A 26712-nucleotide genomic window follows, 5' to 3' on the forward strand; every position below is an offset into this window, starting at 1 on the left:
TGAAATCATCAACATAATCTCCGAGGATTGTAAGAGTTTCTTTGTACTTTGTTCAGTTATTTTCAGCCACTGGAGACCTACTATCAGGTCCCATTTTATGCTGATATTGTTCACGAAGTTGGCATGCTTTACTGGTCTTCTTCAATCTACACACAGGGAGACAAATCCCAAGAGGTTGGGGGAAGTTTTGTTTCATGTGAATCTAGCTATGATATGAAACGCATTGAGTCCTTGGGGATTCCTGACATGATTTAGACGTTCTTTGCCTGCCCACTGCAGGAGGCTTTACAGAAAAGGCATTCTGTCATCTCAGTAACTAATGGGAAGCAGATGAGTGGTAGAAAGAATTCTGGTTTTGATCTCAGGAGGCCTGAATTTGGAAGCTCAGCCCTGTCACCTGGGAGACCTTGGACATATTAGCTTTTCTGAGACTCAGTCTGCTTGTCTAAAATGTAAATAATGGAATCTACTATTTGGGGTTATTTCTTGACCCAAATGATATAACTTATGTGAAAGCACTTTATAAATCTGAAGTGCCAACAATTGTGAGTGTTATAACTCTCATCATGATTATTTATGGTGATGTAGTGTATAGGCTTTGCTGTCAGTTAAATCTTTCAGTCCTCATGTCCCTATTACCCCTTGGCTACTGTCTCTATTACTCAGGAGCACAGCAGGAGACACAATTCATTCCCAGATGGTTCAAATGGGGAGACTTGAATGAAGCCTCTACTTAGAGAGGTGCAAGTGAAAAACCAAAAGACCAGCAACAGCTGGAAGGATTACTACCCCCTATGGCTAAAGGGACAAATGAAGGAAAAGCTTCTACCAGAGCTCTGTGAAGACAAGCAACCTGAAGGAGAACAGGCTACCCGGAGGGATGCAGCTATTACCAGATGTGGGACACTGCTACACAGGAGACATCTCTCTCCTGCCCACCAATCTCCCATTGGTTGAACCCAATCAGAAGGCAACTCACAAGGGATTCCAATGATATAATTCACAAGATCCAATTCTCAAAGACACAAACTTTTAGGGTCCTTTGTTAGAGTAAAACTCCAGAAAAGGAGTTGTACAGCAAAATAAACCTTAGATCACAACCAAATTGGGGGACATCAGGGATTCTCTGGATGGGGGAGCTCCCAGGCCTCAGCAAATTGTCCTATTGGTTTGAGCAATAAAGATTGCTCAAGCTGGTTCCAAGCACCAAGAGGAGATTTGTCAAGGTCAGAGGCACCTCAATTCAGAATCCCTTCATCATTGCCAATTGTAAACAAAAAAACATCTAAGCCAAGTCTCAATCAATTTAGAAGGCTTATTTTGCCAAGGTTAAGGATGTGCCTGTGACACAACCTCAAGAGGTCCTGATGACATGTGCCCAAAGGGATTAGGGTACAGTTTGATTTTATACATTTTAGGGCGACATGAGATGTCAATCAACACATGTAAGATGTGCATTGGTTTGGTCCAGAAAGACGGGACAACTTGAAGTGGGGGCATGCAGGTCATAGGTAGATTTAAAGATTTTCTTTATTATTATTATTATTTCAATACTTTCTGGAGAACAGGTGGTGTTTGGTTACATGGATAAGTTCTTTAATGGTGATTTCTAGATTTAAAGATTTTCTGATTGGAAATTGATTGAAAGAGTCATTATCAAAGAATGTCTGGGTTACAATAATGGATTGTGGAGACCAAGGTTTTATAATGCAGATGAAGCTCCAGGTAACAGACTTCAGAGAGAATAGCCTGTAAATGTTTCTTATCTGACTTAAAGAATCTGTTCTATCAGTAATTCCAAAAGGACTGAGGGTATAATGAGGCATTTCAGGCTCCCCCTTCCCATCGCAGCCTAAACTACTTTTTTAGGTTAACTTTGGAATGCCCTTGGTCGAGAGGAGGGGTCCATTCAGATGGTTGGGGGTCTTAGCATTTTATTTTTGGTTTACACTTTCTTTTTTTTTTTGAGACAGTTTCACTCTGTCGCCCAGGCTGGAGTGCAGTGGTGCGATCTCAGCTCACCGCAAGCTCTGCCTCCCCGGTTTATGCCATTCTCCTGCCTCAGCCTCCTGAGTAGCTGTGACTACAGGTGCCCACCACCACGCCCAGCTAATTTTTGTATTTTAGTAGAGACGGGGTTTCACCATGTTAGCCAGGATGGTCTCAATCTCCTGACCTCGTGATCCATCCTCCTCGGCCTCCCAAAGTACTAGGATTACAGGCATGAGCCACCATGCCTGATGGGTTTACACTTTCTGTATTGTGCTTTTCATTGTGCTCTTCATATCAGCATCACCAGTGGTTACAAGCAGGAGTCTGAGCCATATAGATCTGTGTTCAAATCTGCCACATATGATTTTAGGTAAATTGACTTAATCTCTCAGAACCTGTTTTCTCACCTGAAAAGGGGAGCCTATAAGAGCACCAATTTCATAGGATAATGTAAATATCAAAGCTGTAATACCTTTCAAGCACTTTCCAATGTGCATAATAAGCACTCTGTAAATAAGAATGTTGCTGCTTGACTTCTCACAGACCCACTTTTTACTGCTTACCCCCACCCCACAAACCTCCACACCGGAAATCCTTTTCCATGGAGATCTCACCTTCTCACATCTTTAACCTGTTTGATAATTCCACCTTTTTTTCTAACTGAAAACTTGATCTCTCTGGTAGACTTCTATTTCTTTTTTACTTAACTTCTCAGTAGCATTTATACTATTGCTTATTCCCTCCCTTTAAAAAGGCTTTCTTCCCTTGGCTTCTGTGTGGTTATCTCCTAGGTTTCAGGTTGCTTGGATAGACCATGTTAAAACTGAATTTATTTTATTTCCTGCAAAACATGCTCATTTCCTCTTACTTTAATTAATGACACCCTCATCATTCAATTGCATAACCTTCGATGTCTTACCTCTTTCTCATTCCTTACATTCAATAGGTCATAGGGCTTTGTATGCATTAAATCTCTAAAACATATCTAGAATCCATCTACTTTTCTCTATCCCTAATACCACTGTGTTTATGGAGCCATCTCCATTTCTTGCCAGCTTTATAGCAATAACTTCCTAAATGGTCTCAGTCCCTCTTATCTTGTATTCTTTACCCATTCTTCACATCGTAATCGGAAAGGTGGTTCTAAAGAAAACATTTTCTCCTACCACTACCCTTATTTAAAACTCCCCAGTGACTCTCCATTACCCTTATTAGAAAGCCCAGTCTCATAATTGCTAGCAAGATCCTCTATGACCTAACCCCTGCTAATACTAGATACTCATCTAGGCACACCCCTTTATCTCACTCAACCCCAGTGATAACAAATGACTTGAAAATCCCCCAACACTTTAACTTTCTCTCTTCTCTGAGTGGTGTATATGCTAGCCAAGATCCTCCACCCACAAACTTAGCTAATTCTCACTTTGCCCTTTGCACCTCATTTTAAATGCCATTTCCTCCAGTAACTTTTCCTGACCCTGAAAGCCCTCCTAGGTATACCAACATAGCCTTAAAGTGTTAATTCAATGAAGGCAGAAATCATACTGATCTTTGATTATATCTTTAAACATTGGTGCCTAGCACTGGGTACTTTTGAATGAGGGAAGATTCAGCAGTGCAAGATCATCCCTGTCTGATCTCCAATTTCCCAAAAGCTCACAGTAGTAACTCTAGAATTGTCTCCTAACTAGAGTTAAAATTTAGGGGGATCAAGCATGGTCTTGATCTTGAGCCAGTTATGCTTAAGATACAACTCACCATTTTTGATACATCAATTCACAAAGAACCTCTGGAACCCTGTTCATGTTCACATAGCAGTAGAGGGTCAATCAATGTGAAATGAAATGGCACATACTTTCAAAGAGGCCTATGTAAGTGCAAAGTTGATTGTGATCTGCTTCTTGCATTTGTTTTTTCTGAGTGTTCTACAGCAGTTTCTCATCTTAGGAAAGTCCTTCAGGCTAGTTCACTGATGGATCTACTTAAGTGCATAAGTTTTGCCACTAGACCAAATCATAAATGTCAATCTTTCTCTCTGGTAACACAACTCTTCAGCCACAAAGCACAGTACTGAATGTTTTGGCACACATACTACAAAAAAGTCATTCATTGTCCTTTGCTTTCTTTAGTTTTCACTGTTAACTCCTAGCTAAGCTTCCTTATGTCATGAGAAGTAATTCTACTAAATAAAACCTGGTTATACATTAAGAAGACATCTTTTTAACAAGGAAAAATCTTCAGTTTCAGAGTTAAGCTTTAACAAGTTTTATAAACAAGAGACTTCAATGAACACATGCTGGGTAACAGATTTCTATAAATCTGTAAACTAACAGAGAAAAGATAGTTTATCTCTAAGGCACCACATAGCAGCACACAGAGAGATGAAGCCCTAATATAATCTAAAGAAAATGTGGCTATACACTAATTATTATCAATGATAAGTCATCAAAAGAATCCCTACTTTCTATTTCCAAATCCCAGGCTGTTTCCAATACATTGCACTGTCTTCCTTCAGATAATGAAAAAGAAATAATTGTGATTCCTATACTCACTAAGTTAACAACTGAACATGCTTGCAATTGTCAGATTATGTCAGATACTATGTATAATGAATTTTGCAATACTAGGAATAGATACTGAAAGAATCAAGAAGAAATGGAGTTCAGAAAGCTTCCTGAAAAATTTTAAGAAAGTAAAATGGAGGGAAAAAGAAGAGGAAACCAAACATTAAAAATGCTTTATTAAGGCACTAGAGCCATGAGTATGTATACGTATTCATGGGAAAGGTCAGAAATATGTGTGGTGAAAAGCAGTAGGAAATAAAGTTAGACATGTAGAGATGGTCCGCATTTTGAAAAGGAAAAGATAACATTAAAAATCCACGTCCAACTCAATGTTCTGCTTTAAGAGAAAACTGTCTTTAATTCAACTTAACTATCATCAAAATATGCTGCGTGGCTGCACACAAACCTTTGATGATTTTCAAAGCTTGGAATTAACTAAAATGACTTTATTTAGCATTTATTACCCACTTCTACAGGCACGCCTAGTAGTAAGCACTTTGAATACATTTTCACAGAGGATCTACACAAGAACCCTATGTGGTAGGTACAAATGTGCTTCCCTTTCCACAATGAAGAAACTCGGGCCAGAAACATTAAGACATATTTCCAAGTCAGAGTAGTTAAGCCAGGATTCAATGCAGGTCTTTCTCTATTCTAGAATCCACAACTTCAGCTTTCATAGAATTTACCCTCTCGTAACACTTTAAGGATGATACAGGATTGTGTTTCTTAAACTTAACACTTGGCCCTTCTCCCCTCTAGCATCCTAAGGAAGCTGTTCACATAAAGAAAAATTAGAGAAAAGAAACCAAGGAAGTGATTGTCCAATTCAGAGTTTCTTTAATATGCTGGGATGACACATATGCCTGAGGCTGATAGATGTAAGATGGGCTTCCCACTTCTTCTGACTCTATCTAAGATGGTCAAATTGCAAAGCAGAATCAACGTGACATGTCCATCAAGATACTGAGAGAAAAGACCACGAGCCCACCTGTTTAGATCAGGTGCTGCGAGGACATGATGGAACAGCAAGAAGAGCTGAGTCCTTTGCCTTGAAGGAACTGTAATCCTGCCCACCAGAATTGTGGACACATCTGAGCAGAAAATCTTTCTCCCTTATCAACATAGAGGAATCCTGGAAGTGGGGGAAGGCAGTCTGAGGCACAACTTCACCTGAAGGCAAGATCAGAAACACGGGAGAAGAGGCAAGGAACCCCTGACTTCACCTCCCCCACCACACACACACAAACAATAAGTGTAAAACCGTACATTCAAATAGCTTCTGCAGTTCCCTAAGCATTGTAATATTTATTATTTCACTTGAACTTCACAACAGCCCTTGAGGACAAAACCAAGACACAAAGAGGTTAAGTGACTTTCCCAAAATCAGATATCTAGTAAATTACCCAGCCAGCCTCCCTAATAACCTCATCTTTCTGAAGTCACTAGGACAAATCTTATCTCACCACTGAGTGTAGGGAGTGAAAAGGTCAGGCAGAGAGGAGTGTCATGATTACAGTTCGGTTAGACCACTTAGACACATCCTTCCATTCCAGCATTTCCCCTAAGTCCTATTTCAAAATCTTAGATTATTTTTAAAAAGAAGAAGAAAGGATACATCATACAGGTCACATCTCTGAGTCCTATCTAAAATATAACTTAAAAAAATGAATTTATAAGTATTTCAATGGTTTTAGTCATTGAAATCAACTCTTAAGAATAAATAATTATTCATGTGAAAAAACTATTTATTCATAGTTTCCAAGAATGTCTCTCTCAGAACAACTTTGTACAGTTTATGTAAATGGTACCCCTGTAATAACCTGCATAACCTCTATAGTCACATTTATCTCCCTAGTCATACCATAGTACCTCAATCCCTGCACAATCTTTGAGTCAGTGAACCACAGAGTAATATATTATCCATTAATTTATTTTAAAACAAATATTGAACACATACTATGTGCAAGCCCAATGCTAGGTTCTGGGAATGCAACAACAAACAAGACACATTTTCTGCCATCAAAACTTCATAGTTTGCCTATGCTTTTGGTGTCAAGCCAAAAAAAAAATCATTGCCAAGACCAATGTTAATAAGCTTATTCTCTGTATTTTCTTTTGGGAGTTTCATAATTTCAGGTCTTACGTGTAAGTCTTTAATCCGTTTTGAGTTGATTTTTGTGTATAATGTAAGATAAGGGCCCAATTTTTTTTTTTTGCATGTGGATATTCAGTTTTCTGATTACCATTTATGGAAGAGACCATCCTTTTCCCATTATTTATTCTTGGTGCCCTTGTCAAAGATTAATTAATGGTATATGCATAGGCTTATTTCTGTTCCATTGGCCTATGTGTCTGTTTTTAGCAAGTATTCTACTGTTTTGATTAACATACCTTGATAATATAGTTGGAAATCAGGAAATGTGATGCCTCTAGCTTTGTTTTTCTTTCTCAAGTTGGCTTTGGCTATTCAGAGTGTTTTGTGATTCCACATAAATTTTAGCATTGCTTTCTCTATTTCTGTACTAAATAAGTAGGACTACGCCAAACTAAAAAGGTTCTGCACGGCAAGTGAAACAGTCAAAAAAATTAAAAGGCAGGGAGTGGGGAGAGCAACATGGCTTAATAGAATCCTCCAGTGATCGCCCCTCTCCCACAGGAGCACCAAATTGAATAACTATCCACGCAAGAAAGCACCTTCATAAGAACCAAAGATCAAATGAGCAATCACAGTACCTAGTTTTAACATCATATTAGGGAAAGAGGCACTGAAGAGGGTAAGAAAGACATTCTTGCATTGCAATCACCACCTTCGCCAGCCCCCCAGCAGTGTTTGGAGAGAGAATCTGTATGCATGGGGGAGGGAAAGTGAAGTGACTGTGGGACTTTGCGTAGGAATTCAATGCTGCCCTGTCACAGCGGAACACAACACAGGGCAGTACTTGACCAGTGCCCTTGGAGGGAACAGCCAGACTAGCCCTAGCCAGAGGGAAATCCTCCATTGCAGCAGTAGGAATCTCAGTTCCAGCTAGCTCCACTACTTTGTTCAAGACCCCAGGGCTCCTCCGACTAAAGTGCCCTGGGGTCCTGAATGAATTTGAACGGCAAAACGGCCTTGGACAAGTCCTGGTGCTATGCTGGGCTTGGAGCCAGTGGACTTGGGGTGCACGTGAGACACCAGCTGTGGTGGCCAAGGGAGTGCTTGTATCACCCCTCCCCCAACTCCAAGCAGTGCTTCTCGGGGAGAGACTCTTTCCACTTGGGGAAAGGGAAGGGAAGAGTACAGAGGACTTGGTCATGAAAGTTGAGTACCAGCTCAGCCACAGTAAATAAAATGTCAAGCAGATTCATGAAGCCTCTGCATCCAGGCCCTAGCTCCTGGATGGCATTTGTATACTCATCCTGGGTCAGAAGGGAACCCACTGTCCTGAAGGGAAGGACCCAGTCTTGGTCCTGATTCCTGATACCCCATCTGCTGACTAAAGATCTCTTCATCCTTGAATAATCATTCATGGTAGCCAGGCAGTAGCCACCACAAGCCTTGGGCAAGGCCCAATAATGTGCTGGCTTCAGATGTGAACCAGTCCAGTCCCAGCTGTGGTGGCCACAAGAGTGCTTTCACCACTCCTCCCCCATTTCCAAGCAGTCTTCTGCAAAGAGAGACTCCTTCTGCTTGGGGGAAAGTGAGGGAAAAAAATGAGACACTCTGCCTGGTAATCCAGGGAATTCTCCCAGATCTTACCCAAGCCAACCACAGCAGTACTTCTGCAAGTCTGTGAGAGTTGTGGCTTTGCTAGGATTGTGGCACTTCTGTGTGTAGACATGACTGTAGTGACCAAGGAGTTATAATAGATTATAACACTGAATTCCCTTTGAATACCTGAAACGCCTTCTCAAGAAGGATGGGTACAAACAAGCACAGAATGTGAAGATTAGAATGAATGCCTAACTCTTCAATGTCCAGACATTGAAGAACATCCACAAGCACCAAGAACATCCAGGAAAACATGATCTCATCAAACAAACTAAATAAGGAACCAGTGACCAATCCCAAGTGACAAAAATATATGAACTTTCAGACAGAGAATTTAAAACAGCTGTTTTGAGGTAGCTCAATGAACTTCGAGATAATGTAGAAAAAGAGTTCAGAAACCTATCAGAGAAATTTAACAAAGAGATTAAAATTGTTTTAAATCAAAAAGAAATTCTGGAACTGAAAACAACTGACAAACTGAAAAACTGCATCAGAGTCTCTCAACAGCAGAATTGATCAAGTGGAAGAAATAATTAGTGAGCTTGAAGACAGTCTCTGTGAAAACACACAGTCAAAGAAGAAAAAAGAATAAAAAAGGATGAAGCACACCTTTGTGCTTGCATCGTAAGCACAAAGCACCTACCTACGAGATCTAGAAAACAGCTTCAAAAGGGCAGATCTAAGAGTTATTGGCCTTAAAGAAGAGGTAGAGCAAGAGATCAGGGTAGAAAGTTTATTCAAGGAAGTAATAACAGAGAACTTTCCAAACCTAGAGAAAGATAATCAACATTCAGCTATAAGAAGGTCAGTCATAGAACATCAAGTAGATTTAAGCGAAATAAGACTGCCTCAAGGTACTTAACTGAACTCCCAAAGATCAAAGATAAAGAAAGGATTCTAAAAGCATTCTAAAAGAGGAAAGAAACATGTAATATATAAAGAAGCTCCAACACATCTGGCAGCAGACTTCTCAGTGGCAACTTTACAGGCTAGGAGAGAGTTGCATGACATATTCAAATTGCTGAATGAAAAACTTTTATCCTAGAATATTATGTCCACAAAAAATATTCTTCAAACATGAAGGAGAAAGAAAGACTTTCCCAGACAAACAAAAGCTAAGGGATTTCATCAACTCTAGAACTGTCTTTCAGGAAATGTTAAAGGAAGTTCTTCAGTCTGAAAGAAAAGGACATTAATGGGCAATAAAAAATCATCTGAAGGTGGCCGGGCGCAGTGGCTCACGCCTGTAATCCCAGCACTTTGGGAGGCCGAGGCGGGTGGATCACAAGGTCAGGAGATTGAGACCATTCTAGCTAACATGGTGAAACCTGGTCTCTACTAAAAATACAAAAAAAAAAAAATTAGCCGGGCGTGGTGGTGGCACCTGTAGTCCCAGCAGTTCCAGCTACTCGGGAGGCTGAGGCAGGAGAACGGCGTGAATCCGGGAGGTGGAGCTTGCAGTGAGCAGAGATCGCGCCACTGCACTCCAGCCTGGGCGAGGCAGAGTGAGACTCCGTCTCAAAAAAAATAAATCATCTTAAGTTAAAAAACTCACTGGTAACAGGAAGTACACAGACAAATTCAGAATATGCTAACACTGTAATTGTGGTATGCTAACCACTCATATCCTGATTAAGAAGACTAAAAGACAACCCTATCAAAAACAATAACTACAACTTTTAAGAGATAGATAGTATAAAAAGATACAAATAGAAACAACAAAAATTTAAAGTGAGGGGATGGGGTCAAAGTGTAGAAGTTTTTAAATAGTTTCCTCTTTCCTTGTTTTTATGATCAGAGTTAAGTTTTCCTCAGTTTAAAATAATTTGTTATAACATATTATTTGCAAGTCTCATGGTAATCTCAAAGCAAAAAGCCTACAGCAGATAAACAAAAAATAAAAAGCAAGAAATTAAAACATACTAACAGAGAAAGACACTTTTACCCAAAGAAAGATGAAAGGAAAGAGAAAGGAAGGAAGAAAGGAAAGAAGGAAGGGAAGGGAAGGAAAGGGAAGGGGAGGGGAGGGGAGGGGAGGACAATCAGAAAAAAAAACAAAATGGTAGTAACAAATTCTTGCCTATCAATAATAAAATTGAATGTAAATGGGCTAAACTCTTTAATCAAAAGACAAAGAGTGGCTAAATGGATTAAAAAAATAAGACCCAACTATATGCTACCTACAAGAAATTCATTTTACCTATAAAAACATACACAGACTGAAAATAAAGTAATGGGAAAAGATATTCCATGTGAATGGAAACCAAAAAAGAGCAGAAGTAACTACACTTATATCAAATAAAATGGACTTCAAGACAAAAAGTATGAAAAGAGACAGAAAACATTATTACATAATAATAAAAGGGTCAATTCAGAAAGAGGATATAACAATTGTTAGTATATGTGTACCCAACACTGGAGCACCCAGATATATAAAGCAAATATTATGAGAGTTAAGGAAAGAGATAGGCCCCAATACAATAATAGTTGGGGACCTCAATATCCTCCTTTCAGCATTGGACAAATATCATCCAAATAGAAAATCAACAAAGAAACATCAGACTTAATCTGTGCTATAGACCCAATGGACGTAATAGATATTTTCAGAATATCCAACATCTGCAGAACACATATTCTTCTGCTCAGCACATTGATCACTTTCAAGCACAGACCATATGTTAGGCCACAAAACAAGTCTTAAATTAAAAAAAATAAAAGAAATAATATCAAGTGTCTTCTGTGACTACAATGGAACAAAACTGGAAATCAATAACAAGAGGAATTTTGGAAACTATACAAACACATGGAAATTAAACAACATGCTCCTGAATGACCAGTGGGCCAATGAAGAAATTAAGAAGGAAACAGAAAATGTATTAAAACAAATGATAATGGAAACACAACATACCAAAACCAACAGGATATAATGAAAGCAGCACTAAGAGGGAAATTTATAGCTATAAGTGCCTATGCCAAAAAAGAAGAAAAGCTTCAAATAAATAACCTAAGGATACATCTTAGAGAACTAGAAAAGCAAGAGCAAACCAAACCCAAAATTCGTAGAAGAAAAGACATAATAAAATCAGAGAGAGATAAATGTGATTAACCTCCCCAAAAATACAAAAGATCAATGAAATGAAAAGTTGTTTTTTAAAAAAGATAAACAAAATTGACAAACCTTTAGCCAGACTAAGAGAAAAAGAGAAGATTTAAATAAATAAAATCAGGGGTGAAAAAGGAGACAACTGATATCACAGAAATTCAGAGGATCATTAGAGACTACTATGAACAACTATATGCCAATAAATTGGAAAGCCTAGAAGAAACACATAAATTCCTAGACACATATCACCTACCAAGATTTAACCATGAAGAAATCCAAAACATAAATGCCCAGTAACAGGTAACAAGATAGACGCTATAATAAAAAATCTCCCATCAAAGCTCAGGACCCAATGACTTCACTACTGAAATCTACCAAACATTTAAAGAACTAATCCAATTCTATTCAAACTATATCAAAAAATTGAGGAGGAGAGAATACTCCCAAATTCATTTGAAGAGGCAAGTATTACCCTGATAGCAAAATCAGACAGACACAACAACAACCAAAAAACTCCAAGCCAATATCTCTGATTAACTTAGATGCAAAAATCCTTAAGAAAGTACTAGCAAACTCAATTCAAAAACACATTGAAATGATTATTCAGCATGATGAAGTGAAATTATTTCAGGGTGTAAGGATGGTTTAACATATGCAAATTAACCAATGTGATACCTTGATATTTCATAGGAACAGAATGAAGAGCAAAAATCATATGATCATTTTAGTTGATGATGAAAAAGCATTCAACAAAATTCAACATTCCTCTATGAGGAATAAAACAAAAACTGGATATAGAAGGAACATACCTCAACATGAAAACAACTGTATACAACAGACTCACAGCTAGTATCCTACTGAATGGGGAAAAACTGAAAGCCTTTCCTCTAAGACCCGAAACAAGACAAGGATGCCCATTTTGACCACTGTTATTCAACATAGTACTGGAAGTCCTAGCTAGAGCTATTAGACAAGAAAAATTTAAAAAGGGCATACAAATTGGAATGGAAGAAGTCAAATTATCCTTGTTTGCAGACAATATAATCTTATATTTATAGAAACCTAAAGATTATATCAAAAATCTATTAGAACTGGTAAATAAATTCATTAAAGTTGCAGGATACAAAATCAGCATACAAAAATCAGTAGCATTACTATATGCCAGCAGCAAACAATTTGAAAAAGAAATCATGAAATAATCCCATTTACAATAGCTAAATAGCTACAAATAAAATAAAATATCTAGGAACTAACTTGACCAAAGAAGTGAAAGATATTGATAATGAAAACTATAAAACATTGATGCAAGAAATTTAAGAGGACACAAAAACATGAAAAGATATTCCATTTACATGGATTAGAAGAATCAATATTGTTAAAATGTTCATACTATTCAAAGCAATCTATGGGTTAGATGCAATTCCTGTCAAAATACCAATGACATTCCTCACAGAAATAGAAAAAAAAAATCCTAAGATTTATGTGGAACCACAAAAGACCTAGAACAGCCAAAGCTAACCTTAGCAAAAAGAACAAAACTGGAGGAATTACATTACCTGACTTCAAATTATATTACAAAGCCATGGCAACCAAAATAGTATGGTACTGGCATAAAAGCAGACACATAGATCAATGGAACAGAATAGAGAACCCAGAACTAAATCCACACATCTACAATGAACTCATTTTCAACAAAGGTACCAAGAAACTATAATACATTGGGAAAAGTAGTCTCTTCAATAAATGGTGCTGAGAAAGCTGGATATCCATACGCAGAAGAATGAAACTTGACCCCTATCTCTCGCACATACAAAAATAAAATCAAAATGGATTAAAGACTTAAATCGAAAACTACTGAAATAAAATATCAGGGAAACTCTCTAGGACTTGGAGTGGGCAAAATCATCTTGAGTAATACCCCACAGGCACAGGCAACCAAAAAAAATGGACAAATGGGGTCACATCAAGTTAAAAAGCTTCTGCACAGCAAAGGAAACAACCAACAAAATGAAGAGAAAACCCATGGTATGTGAGAAAATATTTGCAAACTACTCATCTGACAAGGGATTAATAACCAGAATATACAAGGAGCTCAAATAACTCAATAGGAAAAAAATCAAATAATCTGATTTTAAAATAGGCAAAAAATCTGAATAGACATTTTACAAAAGAAGAGTTTCAAATGGTTAACAGGTATACGAAAAAGGCTCAACATCATTAATAACCAGAAAAATGCAAATCAAAACCACAATGAAATATCATCTCACCCCAGTTAAAATGGCTTTTACCCAAAAGTCAGGCAATAATGAATGCTGGAGAGCATATGAGGGCAACCCTTGTACACGGTTGGTGGGAATGCAAATTAGGGCAACCACTATGAAGAACAGTATGGAGGTTCCTCAAAAACTAACGATAGAACTACCACATGATCCAGCAATCCCACTGCTAGGTATCTATCCAAAAGAATGGAAATCATTGTGTTGAAAAATTATCTGCACTTTCTTCTTTATTGCTGCATTACTCACAATAGCCAAGACTTGGAATTAATGTAAGTGTCCAGCAACAGATAAATGGATTAAAACAATGTGGTACATATACACAATGGAATATTATTTAGCAATAAAAAGAATGAAATCCTGTCATTTGCAACAACATGGATGGAACTGGAAGATATTAAGTGAAATAAGCCAGGCAGAGAAAGACAAATTTCGCATGTCCTCACTTATATATGGAAGCTAAAAAATAAAATAATTGGATTCATGGTGATAGAGAATATAATGATGGTTACCAGAGGCAGAGAACGGTACCAGGGAAGGGTAGAAAAGTGGGGATAGTCAATGGGTACAAAAATATAGTTAGATGGTATGAATAAGTTAATATTTGATAACACAAAGGGTAACTACAGTCAATAATAATTTCTTGTCTATTTCAAAATAACTAGAAGCATGGAATTGTAATGTTTCTAACACAAAGAAATGAATGATACATGCTTGAGGTGATGGATACCCCAATTACCCTGATGTGATTATTATAAATTGCATGCCTATATCAAAACACATGTACACCATAAATATATATACCTATTAAGTACCCATAGTAACTAAAAATAGTTTTAAAAAAAATGAAGGGGCAACCTACAGAATGGGAGAAAACATTTGCAAACCATATATCTGATAAAAGGTTAATACCCAAAATATATAAGGAACTCATACAAATCATAACAAAAACACAAATCACCCAATTTCAAAATAGGGAAAGGACTTCAAGAGACATTTTTCCAAAGAAGAAATACATATAACGCATATTGACCAATAGATGATGGCCAATATATATCAATGCAAATGGCCAATAGATATAAGAAAAGGTACTCAACATCGCTAATCATCAGGGAAATGCAAATCAAAGCCATGTTGAGATATTACCTCACATCTGTTAGGATGTCTCTTATCAATAAGAGTTGTCAAGGGTGTGAAGAAAAGGGAACATTTGTACACTGTGGATAAAAATGTAAATTAGTACAGCCATTATGAAAAACAATATGGAGGTTCCTCAATAAATTAAAAATCAAATTACCGTATGATCCAGTATTTCCACTTCTGGATATTTATCCAAATGAATCAAAATCAGTACCTTGAAGAAAGATCTGCACTCCCATGTTCATTGCAGCATTATTTACAATAGTCAAAGTATAGAAACAACCTTAGTATCTTATGCATTAATTCATTCAATCCTCACGTCAGCCATATGAAGTACTATAAGTTCTATTATTAAACCCATTTTACAGATGAGAATACAGGGGCACAGGGCAGATAAGCAACTTAACAGACCCAGAGCACCTTTATGGTGGTCCTTGGCTCTGAAATAAGAATTGAGATTCTAGAGCCCACAGAATGTAATCACTTCCTCTCCGGGAGCAAACACCAGGCACTATGCGAACAAAATAGGAGGGAATAGGATCCATCCCGAGTGTCAGAGAATTGCACACATTTCCTGTCTGGGTTACATATTTCAGTCTCCGTTCATGCTAATACAAAAGTAAATACTCAGATCTGACCTTCAGTGCCTCCCCAAAAAACATCAAAGTTTGAAGCTGTGCATCAAAGCAATACAGTCCATTTTGTGTCAGCCTGCAATATTATTAGCCAGTCAGGTTTAGGGAAGCTGACAAAAAAGAAGATGTCAGGAATACTATATGTAATATAAATATAATGAAGTGCAGTTGTCAAACTTTCTTAACTAAGAAAGCATATACTTTCTTAGTTAAAAAGAAGAGCATTTCATTGGGGAAATTTCTCACAAAGCCAAGGTTTCAGCTGAAGGAAAGAGGCAAGAGTAAACACCAGAAGCCCAAGCAAAGGTGCACAGAGGCGGAGGATGAATGTTTAGTCTGTGTCTGGTTGTCTGCAAAGAACACGTGCAATCTGAAGAGATTCTAGGGGAAATTGCCAACATAAACAAGCTCTCAATGGAGGTATACATGTTATAAATTTAGAAAGCATCGGCCAGCACTCTCTTGAGTGTGGCTGCCCTTTGGTTTGCCCAAGCAGGGTACTCAAAATCCCCAGAAAGAACACACTCTCTAGTAAGCACAATAGGAGCCTGGTGCTACCCCAGGTGCTTTAAGCCTCGCAGTAACATTAGGAGGGAAAGACTTTTATCTCTTTCTACAATTGAGCAAATGAGTCTCAGAAATATGCCCAGAGTCAGGCTTGTAAGCATGTAGTCAGAATTTGAATCCACACCTGACTGCCACTGAAGTCCTTTCCACTCTCACTTGCTAACCCTCTGAGTATTTTTAGGACTCTCATCAGACATCACATAACCTTTAGGTTGGCATTCACAAGCTCCATGAGGGCAGGGACTACACCAGTCTTGTTAATCATTTAATACCAGCTACCATTGACAGGACTTATATTGGATGCTCAATTATTTTTTTGAACTTTTAATATACTTTATTTTCTAGAATCATTTTAGGTTCATCCAACAAAATTGAGTGGAAAGTGCAGAGAGTTCTTATGTATCCCCTTCCCCAACAAGTGCATAGCCTCTCCCACTATCAATATACCATATCAGAAAGGCACATTTGTTCCAATCAATGAACTTACACTAACACATCATCATCCAAAGACCATAGCTTACATTAGGGTTCACTCTTGGTGTTGTACATTCTATGGGTTTGGACAAATGTATAATGACATGTCACCACCTTTATAGTATCAGAGTATTTTCACTGCCCTTAAAATCCTCTCTGCTCTGCAGATTCATCCCTCCCTCCCCACAACCCCTAGCAACCACTGATCCTTTTACTGTCTTCATAGTTTTGGCTTTTCCAGACTGCCATATATTTGGAATCATACAGTAAGTAGTTTTTTCAGACTGGGCTACTTTCATTTAGTAGTATGCATTTAAGGTTCCTTCATGTCTTTTCATGGCTTGATAGCTCATTTCCTTTTAGTGCTGAATAATATCCCATTGTCAAGATGTACCACAGTTTATTTATTCATTCACCCACTGAAGGACAACTTTGTTCCTTCCAAGTCTTGGCAATATGAATAAAACTGCCATAAACATCCACATGCAGGTTTTTGTGTGGACATAAGTTTTCATCTCCTTTGGATAAATACCAAGGAATACAATTGCTGGAACATATGATGAGAGTCTGTTTAGTTTTTTAAGAAATTGCCAAGCTGTCTTCCAAAGTGGCTCTATCATTTTGCATTGAATAAGAGTTCCTGTTGCTCCACATCCTTGATAGCATTCGGTTTGTCAGTGTTTTGGATTTTCATCATTCTAAATGGGGTGTAATCGACAAATATTTATTCAATAAATTAATTTTTAATCATAAATTAAAATGAAATAAAAATTGAAATCATTAAGAATGTACAATTATAAAATCTATTATTTGCATTGTCACTTCTTAAAGACTGGAGGTAAATGGAGACCTTCCATATTCAAGCTCTAACCTATCACTTTCATGTCACCATTCACCATGCCACTGGGCAAACTGTTCAGTCTGCTCCAAGCAGTAAATCTGCTGAGTGGAGACGGGGGGGTTGGCGGGGAGGGAGAAGAGAGGAGGCGGATGATAAGAATGTACTTTGGGATCTTAGTTTAAAATCCCTCTTGTTGCTACATTTTATTCTTCTCTAGCCACTGTATTCTGCTGCCTACATTTGAGCTCCAAATATAGTCACATCTCTTTTATTATTATAATTAATTGCTATGAAGTCTGCTACCATTATTACAAGGAAAAACAGTAGTTCCATATTAACACATTTCTACTTAAAAGCCAATATTAAAATATGTTAAATCTATAGTAATTTAAACTGGTACACATATAAATAGAACAATGCCAAATTATGAAATAAACCCAAAAGCATGAGGAATTTACTATGATAAGTGGCATTTCAGTTGGGAAAAAAATGGATTCATGGATAAACAGAGTTAGTGTTGATAGATTCAATTTGGGAAAAAAATAGGGATCACTACTTCATACCTTACACCAAAATGAATTATAGAATTATCGAAACTATTAATAATTTAAAAGGAAACTATAAAAAGGCTAGAAGAAAACAATGTGATTTATTTAAACAATCTATGAGTAGGGAAGGGCTTTCAAAGAATAACACAAAATCCTAAAACTTTAAATAAGTTGATGCGTGACCACATAAAAATAAAACATTTAAAAAATAAAACATTTTAGCCATTCATAAATGGCCTAAAAATAGTCCAAAGACAAAATATTTGAAAGATATGTTTGTAATTCATATCACATCAGAGGGATAATTTTCCTAATACATAAATTGTGCTTAGAAACCAGTGAGAGAAAATATCACTAACCAATTTGAAAAAAGTTAAGTTATATGTACATAGTCTACAGAAAAATACAAATGGGTCTTTAAAATAAGAAATGATGTTAGGTCTCACTCATAATGAGAAAATATACTGAGATGCCACTTTGCTTTTAAAAACTGGCAATGGGGCCGGGCGCGGTAGCTCATCACGCCTGTAATCCCAGTACTTTGGGAGGCCGAGGCGGGCGGATCACGAGGTCAGGAGATCGAGACCATCCTGGCTAACACAGTGAAACCCCGTCTCTACTAAAAATACAAAAATCTAGCCAGGCACGGTGGCGGGCCCCTGTAGTCCCAGCTACTCGGAGCTTGCAGTGAGCAGAGATGGCGCGCCACTGCACTCCAGCCTGAGCGACAGAACCAGACTCCATCTCAAAAAAAAAAAAAAATCAAAAACAAAAACAAAAAACTGGCAATGATCCAAAGTTTGAAAACATACTCAGATGGCAAAGGTGTGGGAAAAAGGCATTCTTGTATATTGTTGATAGTACTTTGCTACAAGTGCTAAATGAAACACCTATCAAAATTATACAGGTACATAGCCTATGACCTACCAATTCCACTTTCTTGTATTCCGTCAACAGATATACTTGCACGTGTGCTTGTGCATGATTTCTCGCAAGTCCCATCTACATCAGGAGGGAGTGGTTAAATAAAGCATGGTGTATTCTTTGTCATAAAAGAGGAGGACAAAGTTCTGTATGTCCTTTATCCTTATGAGGTACAATCATCAAGATATAATTTTCTATTAAAAAGTACATAGCTTTGATTGAAACAGAAACACAATAGCACATAATATAGGACTCCTCTTACATGGCATTCAAGACCAGGAGAAACTAAAAGATAGTGATAAAAGTGAGAATAGCAATTATCTCTGGAGAGAATAGGAAGAGGCACAAGGGAGACATGGGGGTGCAGGAAATATATATCTTAATCCAGGTGGTGATCACATGGGTATATACTTGAGTAAAACGTCATCACACCATACACAAATTCTGCACTTTACACGGCCTTTTATTTATAAAACAAATCCACAAGCAAGACACTGTACTATACATATAATATTCTATACTTTGTGCAAAAAAGAGAAAAAATATATGTCTGTATATGTATTTGCTTATACGTGCATAGAATACCTCTAGAAGGCTACACAAGAAACTGATCACATCACAGGAGGGATTCTGGGTGACTAGGAGCAGGGGTGAGTGGGAGACTCCTTACCAGATATCTTTTGCTACTTTTGCATTTTAGACCGTGTGAATATATTACCTTATTGCAAAACATGCAATGAATAAAAAAACACACCACCTAGAATTGTCCGAGACCTCTGGGGCTTACTCAGTCCTGACTACAAATGCCAGCCCCAGAGGAAATTAGAGGGTCTAAAGTCAGCTCTCTGCTAATGTTGCCTCTCATGCCACTATTGAAGGCTGGGCCTGTAAGATCTGACAGATACTGGTCCACCACCAGCCCAATAAATTACATATATAAAATATGTCAGATCGTTATAGGCACAAGAAAAAAATAAAATAAAATACAGAGGTAAAGTATTAAGCAGGGGAATGAGTGGGAGAATAAGGGAGTCCCGGCTATTCTAGGTGGGCGGTTTATGGAAGGCCTTGCTGATGAGGTATCATCTGACATCTAAATGTAGCAAGGAGACAAGCATTGTAAATATCTGGAGATAGAGCAGTTGAGGCAGAGAAGACAGCAGATGTAAAAGCCCTGAGGTCAGAGTATGCCTGCCATGGCTGAGAAACAGCTAGGATGCCAGTGTGGGTGAAGTAGAGAGAACCAAGTAGAGAACAGGAGAGATAAGGAGTGAGAGGTAAGCAGAGGCTAAGATCACAAAGGGCCTTGGAAGCCACATAAAGACTTAGATATTTACTCTGGGCAAGATGGGAAACCAGTGGAATATTTCAGCAGGGAGAATCAAGAGATTTTTTTTGGACCTAGTTAATGGAGATACTAGGTGGGATATACAAGTCTGGGCGTTAGGAAAGAGATACCGGCTGGAGATATAAACCTAGAAGTCATCAGATTTCTCTTCCCTCCAAATGAATTACTCTTTGGGGTCATTGGGTTTTTGGGGGGCCCTTTCTTGCCAGCACATCTTGCTCCAATCCAATCCACTCAGCGAGGTTCCCTAACTTCACATCATAGGAAGTAGATGTTTGGATATCTATTTCTCTATCTCAGAAGGCAAACTCCTCTATCACCACCACTCCATGTATCAAAGACTAAGGAGCACAGCCTTTGAAAAATCACACACATGCGCCCAATGTACACAAATCCAGCTACACTCTTCTTCTAGAATCATAGATGCATATTTACTTGGTTTTTTTATTTCCTTAACCAGGAGGGCCCACTTAACTAAATCTCCTCTGAACTAAAAAGGGCTCCTTTGTCCACTGAAACATAGCTTTACAGACAGGTTAATGTCACTTAAAGTTTTTATTTATGCCTTACTAAGGCTTTCATGACATTTCTATAAGTTTTCACCAACTTTTGTAAGTCTTTTGAACATTTTTCCATCATTGTCTATTTCTCCTTAACTAACATCTAAATTATCCATTTGCTCCTCTTTAAAATATATATGCCATCCAACCTTTATGGAACTGAAATCAAGGCACAAGGCTTGTTTATCAACTGAATGACTATGAGAAAGTCACTTCATTTCTGTAAGCCTAAGTCTCCTTATTTGATACTTCATTATTGTCTTTAAGATGTGAGTGACTTATATTTTTGTTTATATGTTTCTATAGATTTTTACCAAATTGATGATAATGCTTCTGTGTCTCCACCAAAATCTCATGTCGAATTGTAATTCCCAGTGTTGGAGGAGGGGCTTGGCGGGAGGTGACTGAATCATGGGGGCAGACTTCCCCCTTGCTGTTCTTGTGATAGAGTTCCTCCAAGATCTGTTTGTTTAAGTGTGTATTAACCCCCCTACTCTCTCTCTCTCTCTCTCTGCTGTCATCCATGTGAAGATGTGCTTGCTTCCTCTTCACCTTCCACCATAATTGTAAGTTTCCTGAGGTCTCCCCAGCCATGCCTCCTGTACAGCCTGCAGAAACTATGAGTCAGTTAAACCTCTTTTCTTCATAAATTACCCAGTCTCAGGTAGATCTTTATAGCAGTGTGAGAATGAACTAATACAGAAAATTGGGACCAACGAAGTGGAGCATTACTATAAAGACACCTGAAAATGTGGAAGTGACTTCAGAACTGGGCAGAGGTTGAAACACTCTGAAGGGCTCAGAAGAAAACAGGAAGAAGGGAGAAAGTTTGGAACTTCCTAGAGACTGTTGTTGAATGGTTGTAACCAAAATGCTGATAGTAATATGGACAGTGAAGTCCAGGCTGAGGATGTCTCAGAGGGAGATGAAGAACTTAGTGGAAACTGAAAGGGCACTCTTGTTATGCTTTAGCAAAGAGACTGGTGGCATTGTGCCCCTGCTGTAGAGATCTGTGGAATTTGAACTTGAGAGAGACAATTTAGGGTGTCTGGCAGAAGAAATTTCTAAGCAGCTAAGTGTTCAACTTGTGGCACGACTGCTTCTAAAAGCCTATGTTCATTTGCATTAACAAAGAAATGACCTGAAACTGTAACTTATATTTAAAAGGGAAGCAGAGCATAAATTTTGGAAAATTTGCAGCCTGACCATGTAGTAGAAAAGAAAAATCATTTTTCTGGAGTGGAATTCAAGCCTGCTGCATAAATGTGGATAAGTACAGAGAAACCAAATGTTAATAATCAAGACAATGGGGAAAATGCCTCCAAGGCATTTCAGATACCTTCACAGCAGCAACTCCCATCACAGGCCCAAAGGCCTGGGAGGGGAAAAATGGTTTTGTGGGCTGGGCCCAGGTCCCCACTGCCCTGCACAACCTCAGAACATTGTTCCCTGCATCCCAGCTGGTCCAGCTCCAGCCATGGCTAAAAAAGCCCCAGATACATCTCAGGCCACTGCTCCAGAGGGTGCAAGCCAGAAGCTGCCAAGGTTTCCACTTGGTGTTAAGCCTATGGGTGCACAGAGGGCAAGAGTTGAGGCTTGGGAGCCTCTGCTAGATTTCAGAGGATGTATGGAAACGTCTGGATGTCCAGGCAGAAGTTGACCTGAGCTGCAGGAGTGGAGCCCTCAAAGAGAGCCTCTTCTAGGGCAGCATGGAAAGGAAATCTGGGGTTGGAGGCCCCACAAAGGGTCCCAACTGGGGCACTGCCTAGGGGAGCTGTGAGAAGAGGGCCATCATCCTCCAGGACCCCAAATGGTAGCTCCACCAACAGTTTGCACCATGCACTTGGAAAAGCCACAGGCACTCAATGCCAGCCTGTGAAACCAGCTTAGGGTGCTGTACCCTGCCAAGTCACAGGGATGGAGCTGCCCAAGGCCTTAGGAGTTCACCCTTTGCATCAGTGTGGCCTAGATGTGAGACATGGAGTCAAAGGAGATTGTTTGGAGCTTTAAGATTTAATGACTGCCCTGCTAGGTTTTAAACTTGCATAGGGCCTATAGCCCCTTTGTTTTGGCTGATTTCTCCCTTTTGTAACAGGACCATTTACCCAATGCCAATACACCCATTGTATCTTTGAAGTAACTAACTTGTTTTTGGTTTTACAGGCTCATAGGCAGAAGGGACTTGCCTTGTCTCAGATGAGACTTTGGACTTGGTCTTTTCAGTTAATACTGGAATGAGTTAAAACTTCGGGGGACTCTTGGGAAGGCATGATTGTCTTTTGAAATGTGAGAACATGAGATTTGGGAGGTGCCAGGGGTGGAATACTATGGTTTGGCTCTGTGTCCCCAACCAAATCTCATGTCAAATTGTAATTCCCAGTGTTGGAGGAGGGGCCTGGTGGGAGGCGATTGAATCATGGGGGTAGACTTCCCCCTTGTTGTTCTTGTGATAGAGTTCTCCCAATATCTGTTTGTTTAAAAGTGTGTCTTTTACTTCTCTGTCTTTCTCCCCTGTTGGCCAAGTGGAGACTTCCTTCCTTCCCCTTCACCTTCCACAATGATTGTAAGTTTCCTGAAGCCTCCCTAACCATGCCTTCTGTACAGCCTGCAGAACTATGAGTTAATTAAACCTCTTTTCTTTATAAATTACCCAGTCTCAGGCAGTTTTTTAGAGCAATGTGAGAACAAACTGATACAATGATACTTACCTAGTGATAACTGATTAATAAGAGGCTTTTTACGTTCTTTGCAAGGAAAGAAGGAAACATTGGCAAGTGAAGGGAAGCATGAAGGGAACACAGTAGCATGCACATAGTAGAAATAATATATGTATTATTGTTGTTATTATTACTATTAACCTGAATTGTCCATTCATTTTTTAACAGATACCAATATTTTATAAGACATTGTGCTTGTTTCCATCAAGTAACAATATTTGTAAAAGTATATATTGAGTAATAGTAAAATATTAAAAACTTTCCTAAAGCTCATCAATAAATATTTTATTCAACTTTTAAGTTCAGGGGTACATGCGCAAGTTTGTTTTACAGGTAAACTTGTCTCGTGGGGGTTTGTTATACAGACAATTTCATCACCCAGGTATTAAGTCTAGTACCCATTATTTTTCCTGATCTTCTCTCTCCTCTCACCCTCCATCCTCCAGTAGGCCCCAGTATGTGTTGTTCCCCTCTATATGTCCATGTGTTCTCATCATTTAGCTCCCACTTATAAGTGAGAACATGAAGTATCTGGTTTTCTGTTCCTGCATTAGTTTGCTAAGGATAATGGCCTCCAGCTCCATCCATGTTCCTGCAAAGGACATGATCTCATTCTTTTTATGGCTGCATACTATTTCATGATGTATATGTACCACATTTTCTTTATCCAGTCTATCATCAATGGACACTTAGGCTGATTCCACATCTTTGTTGCTGTGAATAGTGCTGCAATAAACATATACATGCATGTGTCTTTATAATAGAATTTATATTCCTTTGGATCTGTACTCAGTAATAAGATTGCTGGATTAAATGGTAGTTCTGTCTTTAGGTCTTTGAGGAATCACCACCCTGTCTTCCACAATGGTTAAACTAATTTACGCTGCCACAAAGAGTGTGTAAGCATTCCTTTTTCTCTACAATCACTTCAGCATCTGTTATTTTTTGACATTTTAGTAATAGCTCTTCTGACTGGTGTGAGATGGTATCTCACTGCAGTTTTGATTTGCATTTCTCTAATGATCAGTGATGTTGAGCTTTTTTTCATGTGATTGTTAGCCATATGCTTGTCTTCTTTTGAGAAGTGTTTGTTATTTTTTTGCCCACTTTTTAATTTTTTTTTCTTGTAAATTTGTTTAAGTTCCTTATAGATGCTGGATATTAGACCTTTGTCCGATGCATAGTTTGCAAAAATTTTCTCCCATTCTATAGGTTATCTGTTTACTCTGTTGATATTTTCCTTTACTGTGCAGAAGCTCTTTAGTTTACTTAGATACCATTTGTCAATTTTTGCTTTTGTTGCAATTGCTTTTGCTGTCTTCATCATGAAATCTTTTCCTGTTCATATGTCCAAAATGTTATTGCCTAGGTTGTCCTTCAGAGTTTTTTATAGTTTTGAGTTTTACATTTAAGTTTTTAATCCATCTTGAGTTGATTTTTGTATATGGTATAAGGAAGGGGTCCAGTTTCAATCTTCTGCATATGGCTAGTCAGTTATCCTATCACCATTTATTGAATAGGCAATCCTTTGGTTTTTGTCAAGTTTGTTTTTGTCATTGATTGTTTTTGTCAAGTTTGTCAAAGATCAGATAGTTGTAGGTGGGCACCATTATTTCTGAGTTCTTTATTGTGTTTAATTGGCATATGTGTCTATTTTTGTACCAGTACCATGCCATTTTGGTTACTGTAGCCCTGTAGTATAGTTTGAAGTCAGGTAGTATGATGCCTCCAGCTTTGTTCTTTTTGCTTAGGATTGCCTTGGCTACTTGAGTTCTTTTTGTTGTTGTTCCATATGAATTTTAAAATAGATTTTTCTAGTTCTGTGAAGAATGTCAATGGTAGTTTAATAGGAATACCATTTAATCTATACATTGCTTTGGGCAGTATGGCCATTTTAATGATATTGATTATTCCTATTCATGAGCATGGAATGTTTTTCCATTTGTTTGTGTCATCTCTGTTTTCTTTGAGCAATGTTTTGTAGTTCTCCTTGTGGAGATCATTCTCCTTCCTGGTTACCTGTATCCCTAGGTATTTTATTCTTTTTATGGCAATTGTGAATGGAATTGTGTTCCTGATTTGGTTCTTGACTTGACTGTTGTTAGTGTATTGGAATGTTAGTAATTTTTGCACATTGATTTTCTATCCTGAGACTTTCCTGAAGTTGTTCATCAGCTGAAGGAGCTTTTGGGCTGAGACTACAGGATTTTTTAGATATAAGATCATGTCATCTGCAAACAGAGATAGTTTGACTTCCTCTCTTCCTACTTGGGTGTCCTTTATTTCTTTCTCTTGCCTGATTTCCGTGGCTAAATTAACTAGCTATGTGACCTTGAAAATATGCTCAACCTCTCTGAGACTCTGATTGCTAAATCTGTGAAATATAGACAACAATAATTCTATTCATGAGATTGTTAAAAGTAATATTTAAATGTTGGGAGGATAAGCACTTAGTGCTGTACTAGATCTGATACGGTGACACTACACAAAACACTTAGTAAACTTAGATAATAATTATCCACATTTACAACAGGAAGGTCAGCTGGACAGGGCAGATAAAGAATCCAGAGAAAAACTGAATACCAGTTAAGGGCAATCCAAGAATTCAGGTACAGAAGACAAGGGAGTTCCCAGTTTTCAAAAGTTAAGCAGAAGAAGGTAGATATAATGGAGATTCTCACTTAAAGCAGCAGTATTTTGTCCAGATCAAGTTAAAATCAAGCATGTATTGAGTTGTTCATAGCAGAGAGGAGATGGAACATAGTGATCAAGAGACTGAGTTTTGTAGAAAGTCTTGGGTTTTAGTCCTGATTCTGGAATATACCAGTTATGTAACCTCAGTTCCCCAACGCTCAATTCCTCATCCATAAGCAAAAAAATAAAAGTCCTAAGATTTGATCACCAAAGTTCCAACTTGGACCCCCAGTGAACATCAAGCTCATTGTGGCAGCAAGACAGGTGTCATGAGAGTCAGGCTACCATGGAGAGATATACTCAGGCCCCGGACACAGACCTGTATTGACTCCTAGATTAGATATGTACCATGCAATTTAGAACAAGTTTCTTAATCTTTCTGAGCCAGAGCTTCCTCAACTATATATTGGAGATAATAATAATTTCTAAGTAAGATAGGGTAAGCAAAACACCATTACAATGACCGGCACATACTATGTGTTCAAAAAGTCATGATCACTGTTGCTTATGCTTGCTCTTTCCAGGCACTATGCTACATGTTGGAGTTAAAACAGTGAACAAGAGTACATTTCATT

General features: G+C 38.2%; 1 long non-coding RNA gene across 1 annotated transcript in view, besides 1 other annotated feature; it reads right to left on the reverse strand.

The window, feature by feature from the left end:
* The window catches only part of LOC101926964 (uncharacterized), a 165954-nt gene that overhangs the window by 39600 nt on the left and 99642 nt on the right, over nucleotides 1-26712 (reverse strand). The window lies entirely within an intron of this gene.
* Nucleotides 21864-22364: an enhancer, noted in NCBI's record as "H3K27ac hESC enhancer chr1:61186766-61187266 (GRCh37/hg19 assembly coordinates)". NCBI's record gives its function as "activates a minimal SCP1, AML or CMV promoter by ChIP-STARR-seq in naive H9 embryonic stem cells {active_cell/tissue: H9 hESC(naive)}" and the evidence as "EXISTENCE:reporter gene assay evidence [ECO:0000049][PMID:30033119]".

The sequence above is a fragment of the Homo sapiens genome, chromosome 1 (genome assembly GCF_000001405.40).
Source record: "Homo sapiens chromosome 1, GRCh38.p14 Primary Assembly".
NCBI lineage: Eukaryota > Metazoa > Chordata > Mammalia > Primates > Hominidae > Homo > Homo sapiens.